This window comes from Homo sapiens, chromosome 21 (genome assembly GCF_000001405.40).
Source record: "Homo sapiens chromosome 21, GRCh38.p14 Primary Assembly".
Taxonomy (NCBI): Eukaryota; Metazoa; Chordata; class Mammalia; order Primates; family Hominidae; genus Homo; species Homo sapiens.
In genome coordinates, this window is record NC_000021.9 from 37,850,721 (window position 1) to 37,877,126 (window position 26,406).

The 26,406-nt window shown below is 42.0% G+C and overlaps 1 protein-coding gene across 1 annotated transcript in view, besides 1 other annotated feature; it reads right to left on the reverse strand.

The window, feature by feature from the left end:
- The window catches only part of KCNJ6 (potassium inwardly rectifying channel subfamily J member 6), a 309,085-nt gene that overhangs the window by 243,348 nt on the left and 39,331 nt on the right, over positions 1 to 26,406 (reverse strand). The gene's annotated exons all lie outside the window — the stretch shown is intronic.
- Positions 4,584 to 6,201: an enhancer, noted in NCBI's record as "VISTA enhancer hs1811". NCBI's record gives its function as "enhancer in: neural tube[5/7] | hindbrain (rhombencephalon)[5/7] | midbrain (mesencephalon)[6/7]" and the evidence as "EXISTENCE:transgenic organism evidence [ECO:0001131][PMID:17130149]".

Sequence of the window (26,406 nt, forward strand, 5' to 3'; positions counted from 1 at the left end):
GTCACTAGAATGGCTTACGTTTGTCTAATGATGCAATGTTGTATTACGGAGCCCCATGCAAAGGTGCTGTGGGGGACTCTGGTTACCATGGTGCTCAATTCTCTCCTGCCTTTTAACTTATGCCTATAACTTCAATTTAGAGGAATGAATCCTAGGGAAGCTTAGGGTTATGCATGCTGCTGTGGGACTATTTGTCATGCTTCACCTTGAGAACTGGCTGGGTTGCAGTGAAGAGTAATTGATTGATTGATTCATTCATTCATTCATGGCTCAGCCTGTGTGCATCTGTGAAAACACACAGCCTTTGGGAGGGCCGTGATCAAGTTTTGTGACAGGAGATTTAAGCCTAAACTGCCTAATACTGTATAACCCATGTGGAGCCCCTTAATCAGACAGGGAACCCAGTGGGGCATGATAACAGCTCCTTCCCAAGCCAGGCCACTCTGGTCACTATCAGTATCCAGGGAAGTGGTGTGGTTGCCTGTTCTCAAAACAGGATACTATCCCTGCTGAACTCTGCCACAGCATTGTCAATAGGACAGCAGAGAGTCCCAGTTATTGGAATAACCCCTGGAAGCCAGCTTGTTCCCTACGCATGCAAAAAAGTGTAGGGTGCAGAAAGATGTGCTTCTTCAATCTCTCATCTGTGTCAATAGTTATAAAAGAAACTAAGTCAGGGGAATATTTTTAAAATGTTCCTTTGAGAAATTCAATTTTATAACCAAATGTGACATTTACTGGGGCTGGAGACTGAGGAAAATTTACAGATGGAAACTGTATTATTTTCTTGTGCTTCTTGTCGTGTGTTTTCAGCTTGAACTTCTGTTTGGATAGAGGAGGGAAGGGACAGAAGGTGACCCCTTTGTTAGGTATCTAATAATTGATTCTCAGCAACAGAGATCTCTGAGAAGGAAAATGAGGAACACCGTCCTAATCTCTGTTGTTCTTTTATCTCTTCTTTTTTTTTCTCTATTTACAGTTAATTTCTTCATTTCAGCTTTGGCAAAGATGATGCAGATTGATTTTTTTTTTCCTATTCCTCTCACTAAGCACAACAAAAAAATCCTGGACAATATATATGACAAACTTAAGTTGACTCTGAAAGGTGAATAGAGGAAGCCATACCAGCTAGGGACCTTGATATCTGAGGAATAACATGGGAGTGAGCTCTCTGAGTTCTTTTTTTTTTTTTCTATATTGTTTATCCCTGACTGGATACTGGAGATGTTAGCAAATTGGAAATGTCAATAGATGCAGACAAAAATGCCCCAAGCTTGAATTCTTTAGCCAAAGACCTAGGAGAGAGGTAGTCTAAGAAGACAGAAAACCTTTGAACAATAACCTCTGTAGCCAAACATTATAGAAAAAACAGCAATTCCACCTGGAAAGCAAAGGCTGGGTGGGGAGCTTTGGCTCCCACTCTTATCAGGTGTAATGCTGCACCCAAACCTGTTGTCAGGATGGTGTCAGGGAAGACAGAGTGGAGATTCTGAATTTTCCTTCTTGCTAAAGGACAGTGAGACTCCCTGGAGACCATATGGGGAGCCTGGTCCTCCACACGGTTCTGGTAATAATGAGGTATGTCTCCCCAGAGCCACAGGGGAGGTATTAGAGGAGGGCCAGTATAGAGTCAGGATATTCACTGCCATCCAGCTGTAACAAGGTCACTCTTGCAAAGTGTTGGTGGAGACCACCACGTGAGAAGTAGTAATGAGGTGCCCCCTCCTATCCCAGCCAGGATGGTGTTGCTGGAGACCCAGTAGGGATCCTGAGCCTTCATTACCATCCAGCAGTAAAAAGGATGACACCTTACTAGTGAGCAATGAGGTGGTTCCCTCCTTAACTCACCAGAGTGATGTCAGAGGAGTCCTGCTATAATACAAGATTTCAATAAGATCCAGAATCTTATAGTAACACCAAAAATGCTTAGGTTTCAGTAAAAAATTACCTGTCATACCAACAGAAAGAGCTAAAACTGAATGACTAAAGACAAATATCAACACTGATATGACCCAGATTTTATAATTATATAAGGAACCTAATGCAGCCTGAAACAAATGAAGAAAAGTGCTAACAAACAAATAGTAAGCCTCAGCAAAAAATCAGCACTTATGGAGAAGAACTGGAAAAAAATTCAGAACTAAAAATTTTAATAACTGAAATAAAAAACTCAATCGATGGGCTGAACAGCAGGGTGGGTAAGACAGAGCAAAGAAACAGTGAACTTGTTGATAGAACAATAGAAATTATATAATCTGGACACTAGAGAGAAAATAGACTTAAAAAAATGAACAGAGCCTTGGGAACATGTGGGGTTGTAACAAAAGATCAAACATTTATGACACAGAATATCAGGAGGAGAAGAAAAAGAAGATGAGGCTGAAGAAAGTATTCAAGGGAATAATGGCTGCAATTTTTTCAAATTAAAAAAAAAAAAAAACAACTACAGATCCAAGGAGCCAAATGAAACCCATGCAAGAAAAACCCAAGGTAATTCACTCAGAGACACATGATAAACTTCTGAAAACTAAAGAAAAAGAAAAAAATCATGAAAGCAGCCAGGGAGAAGTAGTGCATTATCAATAGGGAAAGGTAATTCAAGTGACAGAGGTTTTCTACTTAGAAACTGTGGAGGTCAGAACAAAATAGCATAACATTTTTCAACCACTGGGAAAAAAAACATTTTCAGCTCAGAATTTTATAGCAGCAAAAATGTCTTTCATGAATTAAATGAAAATCAAGGCACTCAGGCATTTTCAGATGAAAGAAAACAAAGAGAATTTGTCACCAGCAGACCTACCCTGAAAGAAAGGAAGTTCTCTCAACAAAAAGGAAATAATAAAAGAAGCAATCTTGACACATCTTAGAGGTAGAAAGAACATGGAAAGAGAAAATATATAGGCAAACACAGTAGACTTTTCTTGAGTTTTCTAAATTATGCTTGATGGCTGAAGCACACATTATAGCATGGTCTACTGTGATTCTTAATATATGTAGAGGAAATATTTAAGACAACTATATTTTAAATAGGGGAAGGGAAACGAATGTAAAGGGAGCTAAGATTTCTATGTTTCCCTTGAATTGGTCAATATTAACAGCAGTAGTTAAGAGATACATATATATATGTATATATATATATATAAATTACATTGTGTATATATACATAAACACAGAATGTAATTCCTAGAACAGCCACTGAAAAAGCTAAACAAAGAGATATATTCAAAAACACTATAGATAAATCAAAGTTGAATTTTAGAAAATGTTGAAATAACCCACAGAATTTCAGAAAAAAACCCCAGAGAATCACAAAACAAAAAACAAATAGAAAACAAAAAATTAAATGGCCAACCTAAGCCTTAACATGCTAATAATTATATTAAACATAAATGGTCCAAATACACCAATTAAAAAACAGAGATTAGCAGAGTGTATAAAAAGCAACTCCAACTACATATCATTAAAAAAAACTCACTTCAAATATAATGGTATGGGTAGATTGAAAGTAAAAAGATGGAAAAAGATGTACCACACAAGCATTAATTTAAAAAAAGTATGGCAATATTATTACACAAAGTAGACTGCAGAGCAAAGAAAATATGAGAGATGGAGAGAAAAATTACATAATAATAAAGATTAAATAATGGAGAATATTACGTTAAGTGAAGTAAGCCAGGCGCAGAAAGAAAAATATATGTCCTCACTCATACTTGAGAGCTAAAAAATTGATCTAATGGAGTAATGAGTAGAACGGTAACCAGAAGCCTGGAAGGATCAGGAGGCAGATGAGCAAAGGTTGGTTAGTGTATACAAAAATACATTTAGATAGAAAGAATAAGCTCCATTGTTTGATAGCACAGTAGAATGACTATAGTTAATGATGCTGTGTTGTATATTTCAAAATAGCTAGAAGAAAACTTGAAATGTTCCCAACACAAATGAATAATATATGTTTGAGGTGATGGATATCCCAAATACCCTGACTTGATCATTCCACATTGTATGTATCTATCAAAATATCACATGAGATATTCATAAATATGAACAACCATTAAGTACCAATACAATAAAGGTTTAATCAACCAAGAATACATAGCAATCCTAAATGTGTATGCAACAAACAACAGAGGTGCAAAATATGTGGAGCAAAAACTGATAGAACTGAAAGGGGAAATAAATCCACGAATATAGTTGAAGATGCCAACACCCTTCTCTTAACAATTGTTAGGACAACTACAGAGAAAATCGGTAAGGATACAGAGAAAATCAACATCATCAACCAACAGGATCAAATCAATGTTTATAGAATTTGCCACACAACAACAGCAGAATACACGTTCTTTCCAAATGCCCACAGCATATATACCAAGACAGACCTCAACAAAAGAATTGAAATCATACCGAGTATGCTCTCTGATCACAATGGAATCGAACTTTTAAAAAATAAAATTTTTTTGGTTTCTTTTCTTCTTTTTCTCTTTTTTACTTGTGCCACCCCCATGTTTGCTTCCTACCAGTCTAGCATGTCATTATTCTGAATGCTGCAGTGAGGTTGCAGTTCTTCAGAAGTTTTTGGAGTACGATGTGGTTTTCATGGCTCAGAGTTTTAAAGAAAAGGGAGGAATGGACTCTCCATTCTCTTTAGCTTCTTTATTGGAACACTCTCTCTGATCTTGGAGAATTAGCATAACCCTCACATCGCTCTATTGTGACTGTTCTTGGAACCTTTCTATAGAATACTAGAGGAAAGAGGAAGATAGTTAGATTCTGAGTCTGTGTCATGGAAGATGGATTTGCATCTTTTGTGCAGTTTAAACAGTTTTGTGACAAAAAGAATTAAGCAGAGCAGAAAAAATAGCTTTCCTTATGAAATCAAAAATCCAACAGTAAACTTCCAATTCAGAAGGCAGAAGTCAAGAATGACTGCATCTGCTGGGGGCCCCTCTCTCCCCCGGGGACCAGTCATTGCAGAATCATGTCCTTTGTTTATATCATCCTTTTAGCACTGCCGAGCCAAGAAACTCAGTTCTGCTCAACCGTGATGAATATTTTTCCAAAACCACATATTCACAATCATGAGATTCTCATTGACAATTCTGTGGTTCCTAATTTTTTAAAATATCTATCTGTGAGGAAGAAAAAATGACTCTCTCCACTTTTAGCTATAAGGTGGGCTATTGGCCAAGCACGGCCAGGGGCCTCTGTCCCTGACAGGCAGCAGCTGTTCAGCCTCCCTGTCCCAGAGCACAGCAGAAGGCAGGGGAGAGGGGGTGGAAGCAGGATTCAGGGCGCTCAAGGCAAGAATTCTTTCCCAAGGCTTTATCCTCCCTGGGACTGGGTGCTAGGGCAGATGGTGCTTGCATTTTCCATCACTCAGAAAGCCATGGCCAGAGACAGGAGGGTGGGGAAGGGGAGGGAAGAGGTCCAAACATCATTTCCGGAAGCTCTTCAGATTCCCTGCATTTTAAAATCTCGTAATTCTTCTCTCTGAATACCACAGAGCCAATGCCATACAATGTTGTGGCATTTGCTGGGCCACATTCCCTAGTGAGATGGGAGAAGAATTACTGTGCCTAAGGCAGCAACCAGCTTAAACATTTTCATTTCCTTCTTAGCTCTTCCACCAGGAAATCCTGCTATCATCTTCCTTGTCCTCTCCCTACTCCTTGCTGTTCATTTCTCAACTCTGTGATTTTGTGCTTCCGGCCTTAGTCAGAGCCAGCCTCTCTGTTCCTGGTTCTCTATGAGAAGGTGCCTAGGTTCCTGCCTTGATGAGCAAGTCAAGACTGTGGACTAGGTGAACTTCAAGTCAGTGTGGAAAATGCCCTTGCTCTCAGGAGATATACACTCAAATACTTAGGGCAACATATCCTGATGACTATAACTCTTAAATGGAGAGAGAGAGAGAGAGAACACAAATAAAGGAGGCAAATGTGACAAATGTTTACAAACGGGGGGATCCAGGTAATGGGTATATCATGTGTATTATATTATTCTTGTGGCTTTTCTACAGATTTTCCATTTTTCAAAATTAAAAAAAGATAAAAAATCAGTATGGTGAGTGTAAACTGCTTCCCCTAAGCCCCAGGTCAGAACAATGGCCTCTGACCTGGGGAAGTTGTATGGTTTGGGTATTGACCTGGCTGGATGTACCAGTTACTTGGTTTCATTCCAGTGTGTGATGCTCTTGCATGGTTCACCAGGCCATGCTCTGGTAGGAGTATCGAATGGTATCCCTAATATTTTAAATGCATTGCTTGTGGCTCTTCTGAGCCTTGAGGTGCCGATACTCCAATGAAGACCCACTGAATCAAAATCTCTGCGGATAAAAGTAAATAATATGCATTTCTTTAAACCATTCCTATGGATAGATCTAATTTTAAGATGGTAAGACAGAGACTTTTGTCTCCTTTGGAAAACAGTAAAGATACCAAGAAACTGAAGGAAATCTTCACTTTTGATGCAACTATGAAATGCCTACAACCTCAGAACATGTATGTAGAGGGAGGGCTATTGTTACATGCAGCAGAAATTGGGCCAGGATAAAGGTGGTGAGTGAGAAACGATGCCTAGCCCCAGAAATCTATGGCAGAGCTGGCTGCCCACAGCCTTCTTCATCCTGGGGGCATAGTCAAAGCATTACCAATGTTTAGAGCAACAAGATGAAGATGTGGTACTGGCTATGAGAGCCTTCCTGGACAGTGTGTGATACCACAAAGGGACTGGAGGAAGCAGAGAGACAGAAGAAAATGCTCAGATCTGCCATTTTGCAAAGGGAATCTTTTTGTGTGGCTGAGTGGAAAAGAAACTGTGGACAGTGAGCAGCTCTGTGGCTGCCAACCTTTGTTAGCTGTGTGATGTAAGGACTAAACCTCTGACAAAGCCCGGAATTAGACAGAACTTTACTCTAGCCCAAGAGACTTCTTGCTCTGTGCTATGCTTCCTGGGCCCTTCTCAACACTTCCTTTCACAAATTACTGACCCAGAAAGAAATCCCCTGTTTCATGAGGAGCCAGCAGTGGATCTATCCAAAATATTACAGGAAAAAAAAGACAAGCTGGAAGCTGAACAATGACCTAGAAAAGTAAGGTGACTAGTAAATGGTAAAGCAAATATAGAAATAGTACAGTGAATATAGTAAGTGAATATTGAAATAGAGGCCATATTTATTTAGAAAAAAGAGAAAGACACTGATGAAAATATAATCAAGGACACAGAGTGTAATTTGAGAAGATAGAGCAAAATAAAAAGAAAATAAATATCAAACTGAAAATGACAGACATGGAAGACAGAAAAAGATGATTCAACATATATAGAGTTTGTATCCTAGGAGAAGAAAACAGAATTAGCAGAAAAATATTTAGATACATCATTAAGAAAATTCAGATTGGCCAGGTACGGTGGCTCACGCCTGTAATCTCAGCACTTTGGGAGGCCGAAGAGGGTGGATCATGAAGTCAGGAGATCGAGACCATCCTGGATAACACGGTGAAACCCCATCTCTACTAAAAATACAAAAAAAATTAGCCAGGCGTAGTGGCGGGCGCCTGTAGTCCCAGCTACTCGGGAGGCTGAGGCAGGAGAATGGCGTGAACCCGGGAGGCGGAGCTTGCAGTGAGCCGAGATCTGGCCACTGCACTCCAGCCTGGGCGACAGAGCAAGACTCCGTCTCAAAAAAAAAAAAAAAAAAAAAAAAAGAAAGTTCAGATTAAGCTCAATTCTTAATATTGATAGAGCATGCTAGGTCCTGGAGGGGAAAAGGGGATTCATGGGCACTGATATATATCCTAATATAGTTACTGCACTTCAGAGAAAAAAGAAATAATTTTACAGGCATCAAAGCATAAAGGGCACATAGAAAAGGGGAAAAACAGACTATCTTTAGCCTTCTCTCTAGAAACATTCAACAAGACAATGGGATAAGATCTAAAGTCTTTGGGAAAATAAAGTGAGATACTACAGTTTTATACTCAGCCACACTGGTGTTCAAGCAAAGAAATGCCTGAGAGATATCTTAAAGATGCAAGCACTCAGGAATGAAATTCTCCATGGGTTTTTTTTGAAGATATCATAAAGGGAGCTATAGAAATATAACTTAAGGGAATAAAGGTCAGCACTAGATGAACTAGGAATAACAGCGTAACCAATTAAAACCAGGCAGGGAAGGTGAAGGAGGAAAGAAACTACATGAAAATAGAAAATCAAAGAATCTCAATTTAAACATACTTTATGGTAGGGAGACAAAAGTTTCTGTCTAAAGAACAAAGATGTAAGTACAGTATATATTATAGAAGAACAAAATGAAACTCTCATTCTACCGAATTTACAAAATTGCAAATTGCAACAAAGCAAAGCAAACAAAGAACACAAAATAAAATATGATAAAGAACAATAAACATATTTTTAAGATCTAGAGGCTTCATGGAAAACAACTTCAATAAATAAAAGACCAAAATATAGCAATAGGTAATTACTATGGAAAAATTCCCAAGATACATTGTTAAGTAAAAAAGCTATTTATAAAAGAGAATATATGGTAGTGTTCCACTTATGTTTAAGAAAGCATACATATATATTTTTTAAAATTTTATAAGATGTATAACTAAGGACACAAAAGCACACATATGTGTGAGCATATGAATAGGATATCTCTGGAAGGATACACAAGAAACTCATAACAGTGGTTGTCTCTGGGATAGGAAACTGAACTGGAGTCTAGGAAGGGTTTTTCATTGTCCACAATTTTAACTATGGGCTTATATTACTTTATATATATATATATATATATATATATATATATATATATATATAAAATACTTAAAAAGCTCTACAGATGATTCTAGCCAGCACTGGGTGTTGAGCAGCCCCAGTTTTTCATTCCAGGGCTTCTGACAAGCTAATGGTAGTTGTACTGTATCTCAGTGGTAGGGATAAAGTGATGATTGCTATCTCTGTTTCATGTGGGTTTTGGCAGACCAGCAAAGAATTTCATTGATTTACTTGTGTCTGAAATTTCTTGATTTCAGAAGAAGGTTACAGTCAACTAAAAAAACATAAAAATAAAAACAAAAGCCCAATTATGAAGTTATAAAGTACTGGGGCTTTGGGTCTTCTAAGCTACCACTGATACTTTTGTCTTCATGCTAGAATGCCTGCATTTCAACTCCTCTGAATTAATAGAATGGCTTCTTAGCGTATCTCCTGGATTCTGACCTCTTTGCCTTTCAGTTCTCCCTCTTTCCCACCTTTACCCTGCTGGTCCCTTGCATCATGACTCCTTGTGGGCACTCCACAAGACACCCCGTGCCCTGGATGCCCAGAGTAACATGGCCCCAAGACACATGCTGCAGGTGGACAGGTCACCCGGTGCAATGGCTATTTCCATCTTTGCTCCTGTTCTTCCCCAGGCAGGAGTAATCCCAAACCCACCTGCTGCTCGGTCCTACACTGATTCCTTTTTCTCCTGAATCCTATTTTACACCCAGGTAATAGCTCATAATTTAGCCCTTAATTGTTCTCCAATTACCTTATCGGTGATAATTTTTCTCCAACTTGAGTTTGAGCTCCTTCATGGGAAAGACCATGGGGCTCTGTGTTCTAAGCCGATCCCACATCTTATGGCCTCCCACCATCCTCACAGCTACTAGCTTAGCTCAGGCCACCCTCCTTTCTCGCCTGGTCTACGCCAGGCAGGTCTCCCTGCTTTTCCTCTTGGGCCTCCTGTGGTCTGTTCCCTATATGGCAGCCAGAGCCATCACTGGCTTCGAAGTAGAAATAAGCTGACTTATTTCCCTGGCTTAAAACCCTTTCCAGCACACTTGTGATAAGATCTAAGCTTCAGGTGGCATGGAGTTCCTGCAGGATCTGTCCCTAGGCTCCCTCCACCCTCATTTCCCAGCCTTCTCCCCATCACTCACACTGCAGTCTTTGACTTTCTTGCCCAGTCCTTCCCCGGGGCCATTGTACTTGCCAGAAAAGCTCTCCCACTACCCCCCTGGAGTGGCTCTCTATGTCATATCATCCAGGTCATGGTTACAATGTCACCTCTTCCAAGGCCTTCCCTGACACCATATCTAGCATAGTTCCCATCTTCACTCCCTCATCACTTCCCAATGTTTTCCCTGCTTAATTTATTGTAGCTTTCGTCTTCATTGTGTATGTGGGTAGACAGTATAATCTGGGGTTAGACTCTCAGAGTTTAAATCTCAGCTCCACTACTTGAGCTGCATGACATTGGGAAAGTCCTTAACCTCCTTGTGCCTCATTTTCCTCATCTGTACAATAGGGATAATGTTATACATAGTTTATGAAACTACAGTGAGAATAAAAGGAGAGATTAATGATATGAAAACCACTTAGAAGGCTGACAGGCAGGAGGTGAGGACTACATCAATCTTTGTTTCTTTATTTACTCATTATTGCCCGACTCCCTACCCTAGACTGTCAACTCTGGTGTATTAGTCAACTCAGCCTACTGTAACAAAGTACCACAAACTGGAGGGCTTAAACAACAGGCATTTATTTTCTCAAAGTTCTGGAGGCTGGAAGTCCAAGACCAAGGTTTCAGTGGGGCTGGTTCCTTGGAGGCCTCTGTCCTTGGCTTGGGGATGGCGTCTTCTCCCTGTGTCCTTATAGGGTTGTCCCTCTGTGTGTGCCTGTGTCCTCATCTTCTCTTCTTATAAGACCACCAGTCAGCTTGGATTAAAGCCCACCCTAGTGACCTCATTTTACCTCTATCACTTCTTTAAAGGCTCTATCTCCAAATACAGTCCCATTCTGAGGTACTGGGGGTTAGGACTTCAACATACAAATTTTGAGGGCATGCAATTTAGCCCCTAACATCTGGAGAAGTAGGGTTGCGACATGGTTAGCCCTGTATCTCAGCAGGCAGACATGCATTTTTCAGCACACTTCAGTGTCTCAGTAATGACCCCTTGGAAGCCTGAGAGCATTTCCCACAGAGCTGGTCCCTCTGCCCCACAGCCATAAAACATGGAGTGACTACTGGGTGCCAAGCTGAGAAGGTACTTGAGGAATGTCCTTGAGAAGCACCAAACTGGGGAACACTCCGGGCCTTGGATTGTGTTCACTAAAATTTAAATGACTCCTTCATAGCCCAGTGGCAAGTAGGGGACCATCAGCCTCACTGAGGTGTTGATGCTGGGCCCCTGGGCAAGCTGGTGACTGGAAAGGAGAGGAGGGTGTGGGTACCCTGAGCTTCCAGTAGTGGGGCTGTAGGTCAGCACTCAGTCAAGTGGGTGGCTCAAGCCCCGCTGCAGAACACACCTCCACTCTAATCAAACAAGCCCATGTCTATCTCGTTCCTTGGCCTGCTCCTCAAGCCCCAAGTAAGGCTTAGAAGACAGCCCTTCTTGGAACCAGTTTCCAATCTTACATAAGGTGTCAGAATCGCCAGTGGTTGGAATTCTTCCATGAGAGCTGTGGAAAAGGGCTGTATTTTGCTTACAATCAGGTGAACCTCACTCTATACAACAGTTGAATCCCCCAAACATTGTGTGTGAATTTTAAGTCCAAGTCTACCTTAAATAGGCAGGGCTGGAGGGGGTCACTATTTATAGTAAATATCCAATGTGCTTTTTTTGGCAAGCAGAGAAGTCTTCTATTTTAACTTTTCTGTTTTGTAAATGTCACCTTTATACACACAGGCATGCATGCATGTATACACATTGTGGCATTCAAGTCTGTGAGGACCAAGTATCTAGCTGTGCTTTAATTCTAAAAGGCGAAGGCTTTGTTAAGTAGCTCAAACTGCAGGGGAAATTATGATCTGAGTTCAAGCTAATATATCACGAAAAAGCCTAGACACAGCATCTGTCAACTTGGGTGATCTTGCTTCTATCTGGGCAGCCACCTGGTAAATTTGTATTTTGCAACAGCAGCTGCAGAGACTGTGTTTACCCTGTGTAGATAGTCAGAGAAATATGAAGAAACTGGGGGTTCTTCCTCTTCTATTTGTGCTAGCGGTAGGCTGACTTAGTTGAACACATTCTGGCAGTTTTGTAAAAGAGTACAATGCCTTAGAATTTTGAGCTGCTAAGTCGGTCCCCTCAACAGCCAGGGGAGAGACAGGGCAGACATCTTGACTGATGTGTGACATCATTTGTTGCCAGGAGGAAAAAGCAGGACTGGCTCCAAGATGAAGCAGTCAGACCTACAGGAGAGTAGCCACAGCTACTGGTTTTCAAAAGGTAGGACAGAGACTCTTAAAAAGGCTAGGAAGATTCGGACAAGGTGAATGGAGAGAGCCAACAGCAGAGCCGTGCTCATGAAGAGCATAGACAATCATGGAGAGCATAGACACTCGACATTCACAGCAGAGAATTACTGGTGAAGATCAATGTAGTAAAACTGAGGAAAGAGGAAAAACATGTTTTATAGTCTTTTCTTTAACATTTTGCTTATTTTGTGTTATTTGATTCATTAATATTTTAGGCACAGTAATTCCTGATTTATTAGTATGTCTGCTTAAATGAGTAAAACATGGAGTAATAAAATTTTAGGTTCTTAGTTTTTGAAATTCAGAGATTGTTACGCCTGACTACTTACTGTGCCTCCACAGTAACCAACACAGTAGCCCCAATGGCTGGAAGCGAATTTGACTCTTTGCCCATATGCTATACCCTCAGCTTCTTAATATTGATGGGTATCGCACAGGTACCAACTTTGATTTATTGCAAATCTGATTTAGAGTGGGTACAGAGAGACTTGAAAGGGCTGTGTCCATTTATGACTGAATTTTTGAGAGTTTATTCTTCAGGAAGTACCTCTGGTGCCAGACATTTATATTTTTAACGATTTGGATGTATTTTGCTTTATGCACAGGGTGTGGTTGATATCTACAATCGTTTTTGTGCATCAGGAAATAAGGTTATTAAAATATTATTAAAATAGGTTTCCACAGGCACTTTGCTACATGTGACAAAATGCATAATTAGCTGGAATTAAGAGCTAATAGGTTTATAACATCAACGCCCCACTTCTAAAATAATATTTAGCTGCTACTTATGTGCACTGCTGTAACTCTTGTAAGAAAAAAAATGCTCCATGGCTCCTAAAAGTCTTATTGGCTTACATTGTCTCTTTAAGCAATTTTAAAATATAAAGGTTTTTTTTTTTTTGTTTTTTTTTTTTTTTGGTGAAGAGAGAGAAGGTGAGCTTCTGCTATATTGGCAGTTTGGAGGTTGAGTTTAAACTGCTTGAAATGATGGGACCTCAGGAAAGACCATATGAAAATATCAGCTTTTCAGGCCAATGAGTCATCCGGCATCACAAGCCGGGTTGTGGGGCTTGAGGCCGGTTTCAGTCTACGTCATCCAACAGCTGACGCTTGACAGAGACACAGGAAAGGAATATGCAATTCTCCAATTCTCTATTTTTTTTTTTTGTTTTAGGTAGATTCTCACCCTGTCACCCAGTCTAGAGTGCAATGGTGTGATCTTGGCTGACTGCAATCTCTGCCTCCTACATTCAAGTGATCCTCCCACCTCAGCCTCCCAAGTAGCTGGGACAACAAGTGTGCACCACCATGCCTGGTTAATTTTTGTATTTTTAGGAGAGAGGAGGTTTCACGTGTTGGCCAGGGTGGTCTTGAATTCCTGACCTCAGGTGAGCCACCTGCCTCAGCCTCCCAAAGAGCTAGGATTACAGGTGTGAGCCACCATGGCCGGCCAGGAATATCCAGTTCTTTAATAGTGTTTCTTTTTTAAAACATTGGCATTCAGATTAAATATCTGTATGCCATTGTTTAATACACCGCAAAAACAAGTCAGGTGAGAGATGAAACCTAGAGAGAACTAGACAACAAGTTACCCAGACTTGTAAGCTCTGTGCATGATTAGGTAGCTTCAAATACAAAGCTTTGAAGATGTGCAGGGGTTTCAGAGGTGGAGGGACTCAGGCCCTTCTGGTAGGGCCACGTGTTTGCATTGTCTTATTGGACTGTTACAGGAGCTGTCTCTTCAAAGGCACTTGCTCCTAGCAAACTTATGCCTTTCCAAAGTCTCCTCTAAAAATGAGTAGAGGACACTTTGTTTTACTTTTACTGAAGTGAAAACACCAAGGCATGCTTTAGGGGTCTCTAGCACTTCTGTGGGTACATCAGTCCCCATTCTCCCCATCTGTCTCTCTCTCTTTTTTTTTTTTTTTTTGAGACTGGGTCTTGTTGTATTGCCCAGGCTGGTCTTGAAATTTGGGGCTCAAGTGATCCTCTTGCCTTGGACTCCCAAAGTGCTGGGATTACAGGCATGAGTCACTGTGCCTGGCCCAGAAAAAGATGTTCTCTATGCCCATGAGGCTTCAAGAGAAGCTGGTTTCCTTATCTTCACTATTTAGAGCTAGATCCCAAGTACCTCCAGGATTGAGCCCTAATCCTGACCCCAAACATAATTTGTGTACAGAAACTCCGTGTAGGAGTGTTAGAAAAGCTGGAGGCCCTATTGATAGGTGATTCAGATATGCTGGGAATAATGTAAAGTGTGTGTCTGGTGGAAAGAGCTGTATTTTTAACGTGATGCTGAAATCACCAAGAAATACTCTACTTCACTTGATACGAAAAACAGAAGTTACCATTATACAGAAAAAAAGTGGAGGAGGCCTTATGCAAATATTTTCAGATAACCGTATATACTGTTTTTTTGCCAGTCGTGTCCCATCATGTCCACCCCCAGTTCTCAGCTGTCTGCATGGGCAGGAGAGGAAAGGAAAGACACTGGCTGGAGGGGGAGGCAGGGGCCTGACTCTTCTGAGCTTGAACTGTCTCATTCTGTACAATACGGATCCAGCTCCTCTTTGAGAAGCCAGTGGTAGAACAAGCAATTTTTTGAGCTCCTTATAGCTTATCTAATTAATCATTTTATGAATGGAGGAGCCAGCTTAGAAAGAACTTGTCCATGTCATACCCCTGTTAAGGGCTGAGGCACTACGTGCTCTTGCTGATGCTTTCATAAATGATAACTCAGGCACTTTCCCACTGTCTGGTTTTTATGGGGTGGTTTATAATTTGGTGACTGGGGACTTCAACACCCCACTCTCAGTCTTGGACAGATCATCTAGATAGAAGATCAACAAAGAAGTGTTGGATTTAAACTGCACTCAAGACCAAATGGTCCTAACAGACATTTACAGAACATCTCACTCAACCGTTGCAGAACACACATTTATGTGCTCATCAGCACATGAAACTCTCAGCAGTGTAGATCGTGTGTTAGACCACAAACCAAATTTCAACAAATTAAAAAAAATCATATCAGGAAACTTCTTAGACTACTAACTTAGGTGTTGCTGTGAAGATATTTTGTGGATGTGATCATAATTGGTTGACTTTAAATTAAGGGGAGGTTATCGCAGATAATCTGAGTGGGCCTGACTCAATTAGGCAAAGTTCTTTAAACGCTGGCTTGAAGCTTCCCTGAGAAAAGAAGACATTCTGTCTGTGGATGGTGGATTCAGTTCCTGCCTGAGAGCTCCTGCCTGCTGTTCTTGGTGGCCTGCCCTTCAGGCTTTAAGACTTGCTTAGTCAGCCCTCACAATTACATAACACAATGTCTTGTAATAAGCCTCTTACTGTATATCACTTCCTCATTCTGCTTCTCTATTGAACCCTGACTGGTATACCAGGAGAGACATCACAATTAACAAGTGGATCTGATGAGTTGGGAGAATACCTTTGGGTTTCTATAGATGGATGGAAGGAGGAAATTGGTCCTTGGGTGGGCACAGGCTGCTGGTTCTTCACTGAACCAGGAGCCCGACCTTTCACATACTTTTGTGCAGCTTTTGCTAAAGGAACAGACCTGGCCGGAGCTGGACAGTGAGGCCAGGGTTGCATTCAAATGGAATGACCAGCTGGACATTGGTCCCTGCCTACTGGCAACTGGGGAGAATGAGCAAGAAAAGTGTGGGATCAGAAACTAAGTACAGAGAATGTCAAAAGGGTCCATTGGCAATTCCCACGAAACAGCACTTCAGCCAGATTCACCTGCCACCAGGCCATGGTCAAGAGGACCATGTCTCTTGAGATCTGGGGGCCACAGGATGAACTAGAGATGGCCAACGGCTGTTGGAAAGAGAAAGGAGGATGGGAATGATGAATAAGCAATGAAGATTACTGGATGTCTTCAATACAAAACTACGCATTACTTAGAACATATCCTTCTAGGTTTTCTGATTCTAGCTATTCATTGCCATTCAGCTATTTTTACAATCTCTAAATTGTAGAGAACTGATGGCAGTGCAGTTATAATTGGCAACGCAAACATGATTATTGTGTATAGACTGGCAAATAAATTCTGTTAGGTGGATGCTCAAATAATATCCCTTCTCATAGAAAAAGCCATCTTGACATTCCTTAACTCCATAGAAATGTGCCATTCTTTGACTTCTTCTTTGAATCTTTTGTAACATTTATATGATTTCCTTATTAATTAATAAGTGTAATAAAATATTTTCCATATGTTAGTTTTATATTTGCCTGAGAGTCATGATTTTACGCTATTTAAAAATCATCCTTTAATAACACCTGAGGTGTCTAGGGTACTACAGGGAGCAACATCAGAGGCAGCATCGCACTCAGAGTCAGGGACAAAAATCTGTCCAGTGAGGAGAGCTGAGGGGTCACTGGCCCCCAGAAAGCCCCATGCAGCCAAGCTTGCAGCAGGGACAATATGAATGAAAGCAAACTGTTTTATTTTTATTTTTAAAAGTTAGGGCAAAATACAGATCCTTTATCTTGCCTTTTGAGAGTAATATCAAGAGATGCTTTTATAGTTTTTTGAAGAAGAGTGAAATCCATCTCTGCCTCATCTTTATATAAACATTTGTTTACGTATTTGTACTTTATATCCTACCTGCTTCCAAAAACAACAATTGAAATGGGCCAAACGGTAATAAAAGCGACAATAATAGATTGTGTAGCAGACCAGACCTTACCTTGCAAAGAGTGATGTCAGCTGTAGAACCACACAGCAGATGGTGAAAAACCATATGATAAAAATAACAGAAGGTTACACGGTAAATATATTACCACAACAATCAGGCAGCGAAGAGACTGGTGAACAGAGAGGGAAAAGCCAGGGGGCAGAAGGATCATCCAAGGTCATGATCTCTGAGATATTAATGGTACCTTGCACTTTGGGTTTATATGTCAACAGTCTCTGAAGAGCCAGGTGTGGTTGCACTTTCATTAGGACTTGGCCTTTATATAGCAGGTAGCTGGGGACAGAAAGGTCCAGGGCTGGGCAGCAGAAATCGCTAGTTCTTGTGTGGATGGAAACACTGGTGCAGGAATGGGGACCATCTTTTCCCTAAGACCTCACAGCCAGCTGGGAGAATGAAGTTGAAGGCCAGCTCTCTGGCTGCTCCGGGCATCCTATGTATCTGGCCATGTTGCCTCCAGCACTATGGGGACAGTGGGGATGGCTATGTCAGGGGTCTCAGAGCACTTTGCAAACAATGCAATAAATACGGTGGAGGGTAGCACATTCTCCTATTAATATACATGACTACAGCTAGCGAGATCATTACTGCAAAGTTTAGGGCAAGTTGTATGAGATCTGCGATTACAGAGATTTGTACTGTCTGGAATATAATTTTTAAAAATTCTCCAGAAAGCCTTTTTAAGGAAAATATCACAGAATTAAACTGAATGTGTGTGTATCCTATAAAACATGGTGTGCCTTCAACAAGTAAATTATACATCTTATCAAGAGAAGCATTTGGAAAACTAAGATAAAATGTGAATTCTCTTACCATCTAGAGGCTGCTATTCAGAGAAGGATGCAGATTAAAGCTGAGTTCCAGACAAGGGAGGAGAAACATCTCTCTGGGATTTGTGGGAAAAATATAAATCGAACTTGAAAGGTCCCGAGGAAGTAGCGGTCCATGCATGTTTACACAAAGGGAAGATGTGTTAGTCGGAAAATCAGAGGACTAACCTCAGAACCCTGGAAATGTACCAGTTAGGGGACAATCCCTGTGTAAATTCTCACAGCTCAAGACCTGTGCAATATTCTAAGCAGAATTACAAAGGGCTCTCACAACGGGCAGGCAGGGCTGGGGTTGGGTGGAGAGGGGAGGACAGAGGCGCTGGCAATCATCAAACAAAATGAAAATGTTCTTCAGAATCCACAGTACACAAGATTCTTGGAAGCTATTTATGTGGATGACAGTTTTACAACATGGCTCTCAAGCTGTGTGTTTGGTGTTTCACTCACAGTTTAGAAGAGGGAAAAACGCAGTAGAGAATGGTGATGGAGCACCCATTGCCTGTTGGGCAAGAAATTCACAGTGGCCCTGGGATAGAGAGCCAGGCTTTGTGGATCCCTGAGCTGTGCTCTAGGCAGTGAATTCTTTAGGGATGATCGAAGCAGGCTGTGAGTGGATCGCCTGGGTGGCTTGGAGTCAATCATGAATCACACACTCTGGGGACATGGAGGGATAGAAGCCATGCCCATCATGAGGCACCTTTGATTGACAAGGGGCTGCTCTCCCATTTCCATGGCCTCCACGGCCGAGCCCTCATATGAGTGACCCCTCTTCTAACCTTAATACACTACTGGCTAACAGTTATTGAGCACCTACTGTATGCCAAGCATTCCTTTCTGGGTAATAATTCATAGAAATAATCCAAGAGGTGTTTTTACAGATCTGAGTGGAGAAACTCATCAGGTAAGTTAGTTAGTTTGTGTTTTAAATGTACAACCATTTTCCTAAGTTGTCAGTTCCAATAATTCTTGGATCTGGTTAAGCTGGATCCTGATAGGAACATTTGCCTCGGGCTTTTACATGTTTGTGTAATTTGGGTTTAGCTCACCTGCTCATTTCAAACCCTGTCAGGAGCTGGAACAATTTCTACCTGCGATGTAGGTGGCTGATGACATGGACTGATTTGAAGGAAGTAGACAGGTTCTAGCTAACCCTGAGTAGCCTCCCTCACCCTTCAAGCTACATGGTGTCTTTATCCTTGAATGATTTAATTCCACTTTGTCATTCACACATCTGAATTAGGTAGCAAAATCCTATTTAGGCTCCTTTAAGAGGCCAGCCTGGAAAACCTACTCATCCCCTACCACTGGCCTATTGGTTGACCAGATGGCAGTGGTCCCTTTAGCAGATGCTAAGTAGTGAAGTCTGGGCTTTAGGACTTGGCAGCTAAAAGGAAAGACTGAGTGGCTTCCAAGGGTAGACCCAAGGGGTGGGGTGCTATAGATAGTAGGAAGTGAAAAGCAAAGGGCCAGCTCAGGCAGAGGGTAGGCCAAGACAAGGCATTTGCTGCAGAGAATGGCACAGGTCCCTGGGAGGATGAAGGGAAGGAGAAAGGAGAACACACTTCTCTGAGTGGGCATCTTGCATAGAAACATATTTCCTGGAAGAGGGAGACAGGAGCTGTAGCCAGATGATACATTTTCCCTTTTCTGATGCTCATGTATGTTGCAATGACCAGGAAGGCATGCAATCCATGGAGGATTTCCCACCCACCCCCGCCCCCACCCCCCGGCCCCAGCCACCTGGCCTGCTGAAAACAGATAGGCACATGGCATTGTATCTCTGGTGAGATAAATTAAAGATCTGAAAGCAATATGCCATCAATAGCCAGCATTAAACAGAGATCGCAGGAGTGGAACAGACCTTTTAAGCATCTGTTTTCTTTGAAGCTCAGTATTTCTCTCTTTGGCACAGGCCCAGCTACCTAACTGGCAAAGACCCAAACCCATCCCAGAATTGCCTCTTGGGATCCAAAATAGCCAGTCCATCAGGATGGAACATTCTCTCTCTGCCTTGCTTTCAGCACTGTTAGAATAATTCTGAGATATTTCAGACAGTACATTAAAAATACTTAGAACAATTCAAAATTTTGTTTTTTTTGGTTTCCAAAAGCAGCTCTTAGGAAGGCATTTAAAACCAACTGTAAATCATTTGAAAGTAAATTTGTACACAGTACAATGTATGCCCAAATGGTCTGGTTCCTTTATTATCAGACATTTATATTTGATGATGTCTATAAATTTTTGAGTGACTTTTCAAGGGGGTCATCTTGCTAACATCAAAGGGTGATCTGATGATGCCATCGTCCATCATGGCTCATTCTCTTCCTACAGCTTCTGCACCCGGTGGGTTCTGCTTTTGAACTGTAGCTTGGCCTGACTACTCATGTGAGCCTTGTGGTGTGATCTGGGAAATTCTTTGTGCATCTTACAGACTCAAACACCAATCCCAAGTCTTGGAAGATGCACCATTATCTCTATCTACCCAGATTTTTTTTGGCCACAATCATGCATTTTCTTACTTTCCTGATTCTTCTCTCCCATTCATTACCTTTTTTTTTCCTATTTTCATTCCCTCCTCTTGATGTTGAGGGCTCCACTGACTGCCATTGACACAAGAGCTTAGTATGGATGGAGGGGACAGTTTCAAGTGGATGAGAACTATCATGGCAAATGACAGGATAGTTGGATTGGGCACACCTTGCATCCTGTACCGTGGGGGGAGCCATGGCCATGAAGATAGCTTGCATGACATCATAGCCATGATAGTCATTGAACATGTGTTGTGTCCACTCCTCTGATCCTGGTGTTCTGCTCTGCCTTGCACCGTAATCACAGACGAATGCCAGAGCTCAAACCAAAACCTGGACTTCGTGTTCCAGGTGGGTGGGAATTGAAGCAAGAAATGCAAGGCTGATATAGACCCTGTACACCTCCCACCCACGTATCTGGCAGAATGTTCAGGTGAAGGGCTAGAAGAGGGCCCGATGAGGGCAGAGGCCAGCTCTACCCTTGACAGGAGGACAGAAATCTGGGCACAACCACACCCTGGGCTCTGAGACTTTTTCCTGAATAACAGTAAGATTTGTACTCTGGGGTATTCTTCCTACATGACTCATGGCTCTCTCTTCAAATCTGGAAGAAGTTGCCTGAAGAACAGTGTGCTCTTGCAGACAGATGAGTAAACCGGCAGACAGATGGGTGGACTTCTAGATAAACAGTGATGGAGAGAGGTGAGGCTGCAGCATGCAATGTGCCCAGAGTCACAGAAGTTTGGTATTGTGGTTTATTTCCCATTCACAAAGTATAACCACCTGTTTTTTCTTCTATTTTTTAACGAAAAGCTTTTTAAAAACCTGTTAAGAAACAAAATGATTCTTGGACATTAGGCAGCTGTTAAAATGTTTTGATGGGTTTAGAATAAATAACTCAGAAACATATGGATTTGATTTTTCATAAGTTAAATGTGTGTATTTTCAAATGAGAAGCAAATTTCCCAGGAAAATACAGTTCAGTTTTTTTTTGACGGGGATTGTGGGAGAAGGTTGGTTATTAAACAAACAAATGTAAGCACACAAATCAAAGTGAAGAGGTATGGGGCACGGATGTCCTAAGAGCTACTCTGGTCCATCAACACAGGGCAAGGCAGAAAAACAAGGCTGTCCTCAGGGAGCTTACCTGGTTAATTCATTAACTAACGTGTGAAATGACATCTGAAGGAGTCATCAAGAATGAGTATATCTATCAGGATGGAGTAGCACACCCCAGACCTAGAAGTCTAATCAAGGCTGCCTGATGTTCAAGAAGCCATAACTAATAACATGCCTAGAAATAATATGTGGGCAAACCTAAGCAAATCAGTTGCCTGGAGTCTGGATCTTACAAAGTCAAAGGGCAAGGCTTCCTCTGTGTCACCGGCATTAGTTAGGGAATGGGGCACCTTGGCCACCAACAGGAAGTTTTCAGTGCACCCAGGAGGTGCAGCCTACAGGAGGAATAGGTGACTGATGATCATGGCTTAATAACACTCATTTGCTTCACCTAACTGCACTCCCAAGGCTCTTTGCCCAACCTTCTGATCATAACTTTGCTCCCTCAATCAATTTTTCTCCCAATAGTGATGTTTCCTAAGTTGGCTTTGTGGTTTATGTATCAGTCTTCTGTGAGTTTAGTTCATGTGAATCTGCGCCTCCAAGATCAATACTCTCTATAGGCCTGATATGGTTTGACTGTGTCCCCACCCGAATCTCATCTTGAATTGTAATCCCCATAATCCTCACATGTCATGGGAGGGAACTGGTCGGAGGTAATTGAACCATGGGGTCAGTTTCCCCCATGCTGTTCTCATGATAGTGTGTTCTTATGAGATCTGCTGGTTTTATGAGCATCTGACATTTCCCCTGCTGTCACTCATTCTCTCTCTTGCCGAACTGTGAAGAGGTGCCTTCCACCATGATTGTAAGTTTCCTGAGGCCTCCCCAGCCATGTGGAACTGTCAGTCAATTATACCTCATTCCTTTATAAATTACCCAGTCTCAGGTATTTCTTCATAGCAACGTTGAGAACAGACTAATAATGTCAAGGCCCTTGACAAAGCCTAGCTGTTTCTCCTGCTGGGCTGAAGGTGAGACTCTGGAACACAGTGACGACTAATCATTACTTGCCAGGCTCACCCAGCACAACATCACCATCCCAGCCATGCATGCGCTGCAGTCGTTTCTTATTAATATCATAACACTGAGACTGCCGACGATGGCTGTCATTGATTCCAGCTTACCACATGCCAAGCACGTTACGCGAATCCTTGCAGTAAATCCTCACAGTGACTCTATGGGCAGATACCATTATTGGTGTTAGTTTACAGAGGAGAAAACTGAGACTAAACCAGGTGAATAACTTTTCCAAAGATCTCATCACTGGTGGCCAATGGGGATAACTGGATTGAGGCCAGGCAGACTAGTGCAGTCAGTGTACCTAACCGTCCATTGACCTGATCTCTTAAACCAGCTCTCTAAACACACCAACCACAACTAGCTGAGCATTGCTAGCAGTGTGCATACTCGTCTAGGCTTGGTGTCTTTTCATTGACCCTAATCTATAAGTGTTTCTGCACTGAAAAGCCTTTTTTAGAACCCACTATGTAGGACTAGAAATAGAAATATGAGCAAATTATTGACTTTCTCACTCTCCCTGTTCTCTCTTCTTAAACCTCCAGCATCTTCTCCCCATCCTCACTCTTAGCTGAAGACACAGCTTCCACCTTCACCAAGAAATCTGTCACCATTACAAGGGAACATCCACAAACTACCAGATCACATCTATCCACGCTTCCACTTGTACCTTTTATCCCTCCCTTTTGCCCTCTACTGGACAGCATTGCTCAGCATTTACCTCATTCCTCAGCATTTTTCCAGTCCTTCCCATCAGCTGTTACCACTCCACCCTGCAAAGAAAACTGCGTCTTATCTCCACTCCCTCTTCAACTTCTATCTCCATTTCTCTGCTCACTTTCACAGCAGAACTCCTTAGAAAACTCGGCCATACTTGCTTTTCCCATTTCCTCTGCCTCCATCTCTCTTAAACTCATCCTAATCAGGGGTTCACCCTCTCCCTTCCCTGCTCCCTGGAAGCTGCTCCTGTCTGGGCCCGCAGTAGCACCCAGCCCAATGGATGTCATCACTGGGGGAGGAGGCCTGTCTTGCTGGCCCATCAGCCGCAGGCCACACCTGATCATCCCTCCCCCTTGAAACGTCACTTTCACTTGGTCTCTCACCAACTCCTCTTTTCTTTTTCCTTTTCTTTGCTGGTTTCTCACTATTTGGGATGCCCCAGGGCTCACTAGGACATGTTCTCTTCTCTATCCTCATTCTCATTTTCAATACCCAGTGGCCAGATTTATTATCTCCAGCCCTTGAACTCCAGACTCATATAACAGACTGACAGCTTGACTTCTCCATTTGGATGTCTAATAAATATCTCAAAATTCACCTGACCAAAACTGAACTTTGATACTAGTCTGGATTTAATGTCATTTAATTTATCCCAAATTATAAGTATTTATGCATTCAAAAGTCTTTCTGATGAACCCACTCTGTAGGGTCTAAGGATAGAAAGATGAACAAATTATTCACTGTCCCACTCAGCCACACCCACGCCTACACTCAGCTGTCCTCAGGGCTCTCTGATGAACACTGGGAGGAATGATGGGAGGGTGACAATGCCTTCTTCCATTTGCTCAGGCCTCAACCTTAGAGTCACTATGTCTGTCCCTTTTCTGTGACAGTTCACATTCGATCTCTTAGAAAGCCCTTTAAACACATTCACAATCCAAGCACGGCTCCACCTCCACCACTGCCACCCTCCTGACCCAAGCCACCATCTCTGCAATGACCTGACTGGCCTCTCTGTGTCCACTGCTGTGCCCTGCAAAACTATTCTCAGCACAGCAAGCCACGGTAGTCCTTTCAAAACATAAGTCAGATTCTGGCAGTTCTGCTCCAAACCTCTTTCTCTCAACAAAGCCAGAGTCACTCTATGCCCAGCAGTCTGTTTCCGACGATTGGCGAGGTCCTGAGAGCAGGGCTGTCTCATGGGGACACATGCTCCTCCCCTGCCCTCAGCCATAAGTGATTCTAGAAATGAATGTGCAAGGCTGGTGGAGCTCTCTCTGGAACACAGTTATCCCCTTCCAGAGTGAATTATAATTCTCCCCAACAAACAGGCATTATTTTTGTAAAATAAAAAAATCTTATTTTAAAAAAGAATTGAAAAGCAGAAGCCTTCCAGGACTTGAACCACAGTTGGCCTATTCCCTCTCTCCCCAGCACAGTGCTTAGCGGGGAGCCTCCACCTTTCCTATGAATTCAAAATGCCAAGCTCGCCCATCCTGCTTCCTCCTCCCCCTTCTTCCCAGTGCTTTTTGACCCCAAGCCAACCTGGAGAGCCAGAGGTGGGGACAGAGTGAGCAGCCAGGGCGCTAATCTTCCTGGGGGCCAGGTCACAGGAGGCTCCTGGCTTCTACCCTAGGGTTCCTCGGGGTTTAATTGCTGGTGGTTTTATGCTTCTGAAGCTGCTGCAGGATGTGCAGCTGCAAACAGCTTACTGTTTCGATTTTCCCTTATTGCTGGCCTCACACTTCAATACTTATGTGAAACTTAAAAGTAATTTTCTCTTTGAACCAGGCTCAGAAGGTAGAAGGAAAACCATGGCCTTTTCCACAGCAGCCATCTCAGGGTCAGTGACTATCAGTGCCCACAAACCCGGCCTCCAGAAAATGGAACTCTTGTGCTAGTCTGCAGGTGTTTCCATACAAGGAACACCTCCGGTGGGCCTCTCAGCCCCTCATTTATTCTTTTAGTACTAAATAATTCAGGGCTCTAACAGCGTTGGAGGGTGGCTTATAAAGTTGAAAAGTAATTTGTAAAGATCTGCAAGTTTTGACTCTGTGTTGAGCTTTGAAATAATGAAGAATCAATGGGGACCATCGATAGTATTAGCCAACATTTAATGGGCTCAGAACCAGCTATATAATTTGTGGGGCCTAGTGTAAAACAAAAATGCAGGGCCCTTTGTGCAAAAATTGTTACAAATTTCAAGACAATGATGGCAGAGCATTAAATCAAGCATGGGGCCTTCTGAGCATGGGGTCCTGTGCAACTGCCTTGGTGGCAGGCCTGTGTCTGGGCACAGGCTGTGCCAGGCTCTAAGGTACACACTGGACCGGGCCGTCTCATTTCACACTCACCAGACACTTTGGGACAGACACCCATAATATTCCCATTTTACAGATGAGCTAACTGACGGTTTCAGGGGTTAAGTAACTTGCCAAAAGTCACCCAATTAACAAAAAAGAGAGCCAGGATTCAAATCCAGGTAGTCTGATCCCTAGAGAAGCCGTCCTCAAAGAGTTATATTTTTAATATTTTTACTATCCATGCTTTCCTATTACAAATAACATTCATTTTTGCATCATCATAGTCATTACTTATCCCAGGACATTTGAAAAAATAAGAAAAAGCCTAAAGAAGACAATTAAAATCACCCAAAATAATGATATCAGTGCATATATGTTCTGTCCTTTTTTCAAAGTATATTTTATATACAAAACAAATTTATGTTATATATGTATATATGAAATATATATATAAATTAAACACCTCATTTACAGCATTGCATGTCTTTAGGTTGAGAGTTGAACAAACAGGCTCACTATGAAACATACGTGGGTGGATCCATGTAGACAGGCTGGAAAACCCAGCAACAATTGGACAAGTTGGCCAAGTCCAAGTTCAGAGGGGCTGTGGGGATAATGTAATACATGAAATCACATACTTTGAAGTAGAAGCAACATTAAACCTGAGGCAAGACCTGAGGCAAGCTTGCTTCAACCACCCAAAAAATCATGGACTGCCAGTGCTCAAAGAGTGAAGAGTCCCCTGTAAATATCTGTAGCTTCACTATTTAGTTTTTCTTGTGGGGTCCAAGTCAGAATAAACTTAACATTTTTATTACTATGAGTCATGTTCCAAAGTGCCCTGCCCTTGAGTTGATGTCGAATGGTTTTACAAGTTTTTTGTACCTGGATGTCATTGAAACACTATTTGCATGTGCTATAGTGAACCCAGAA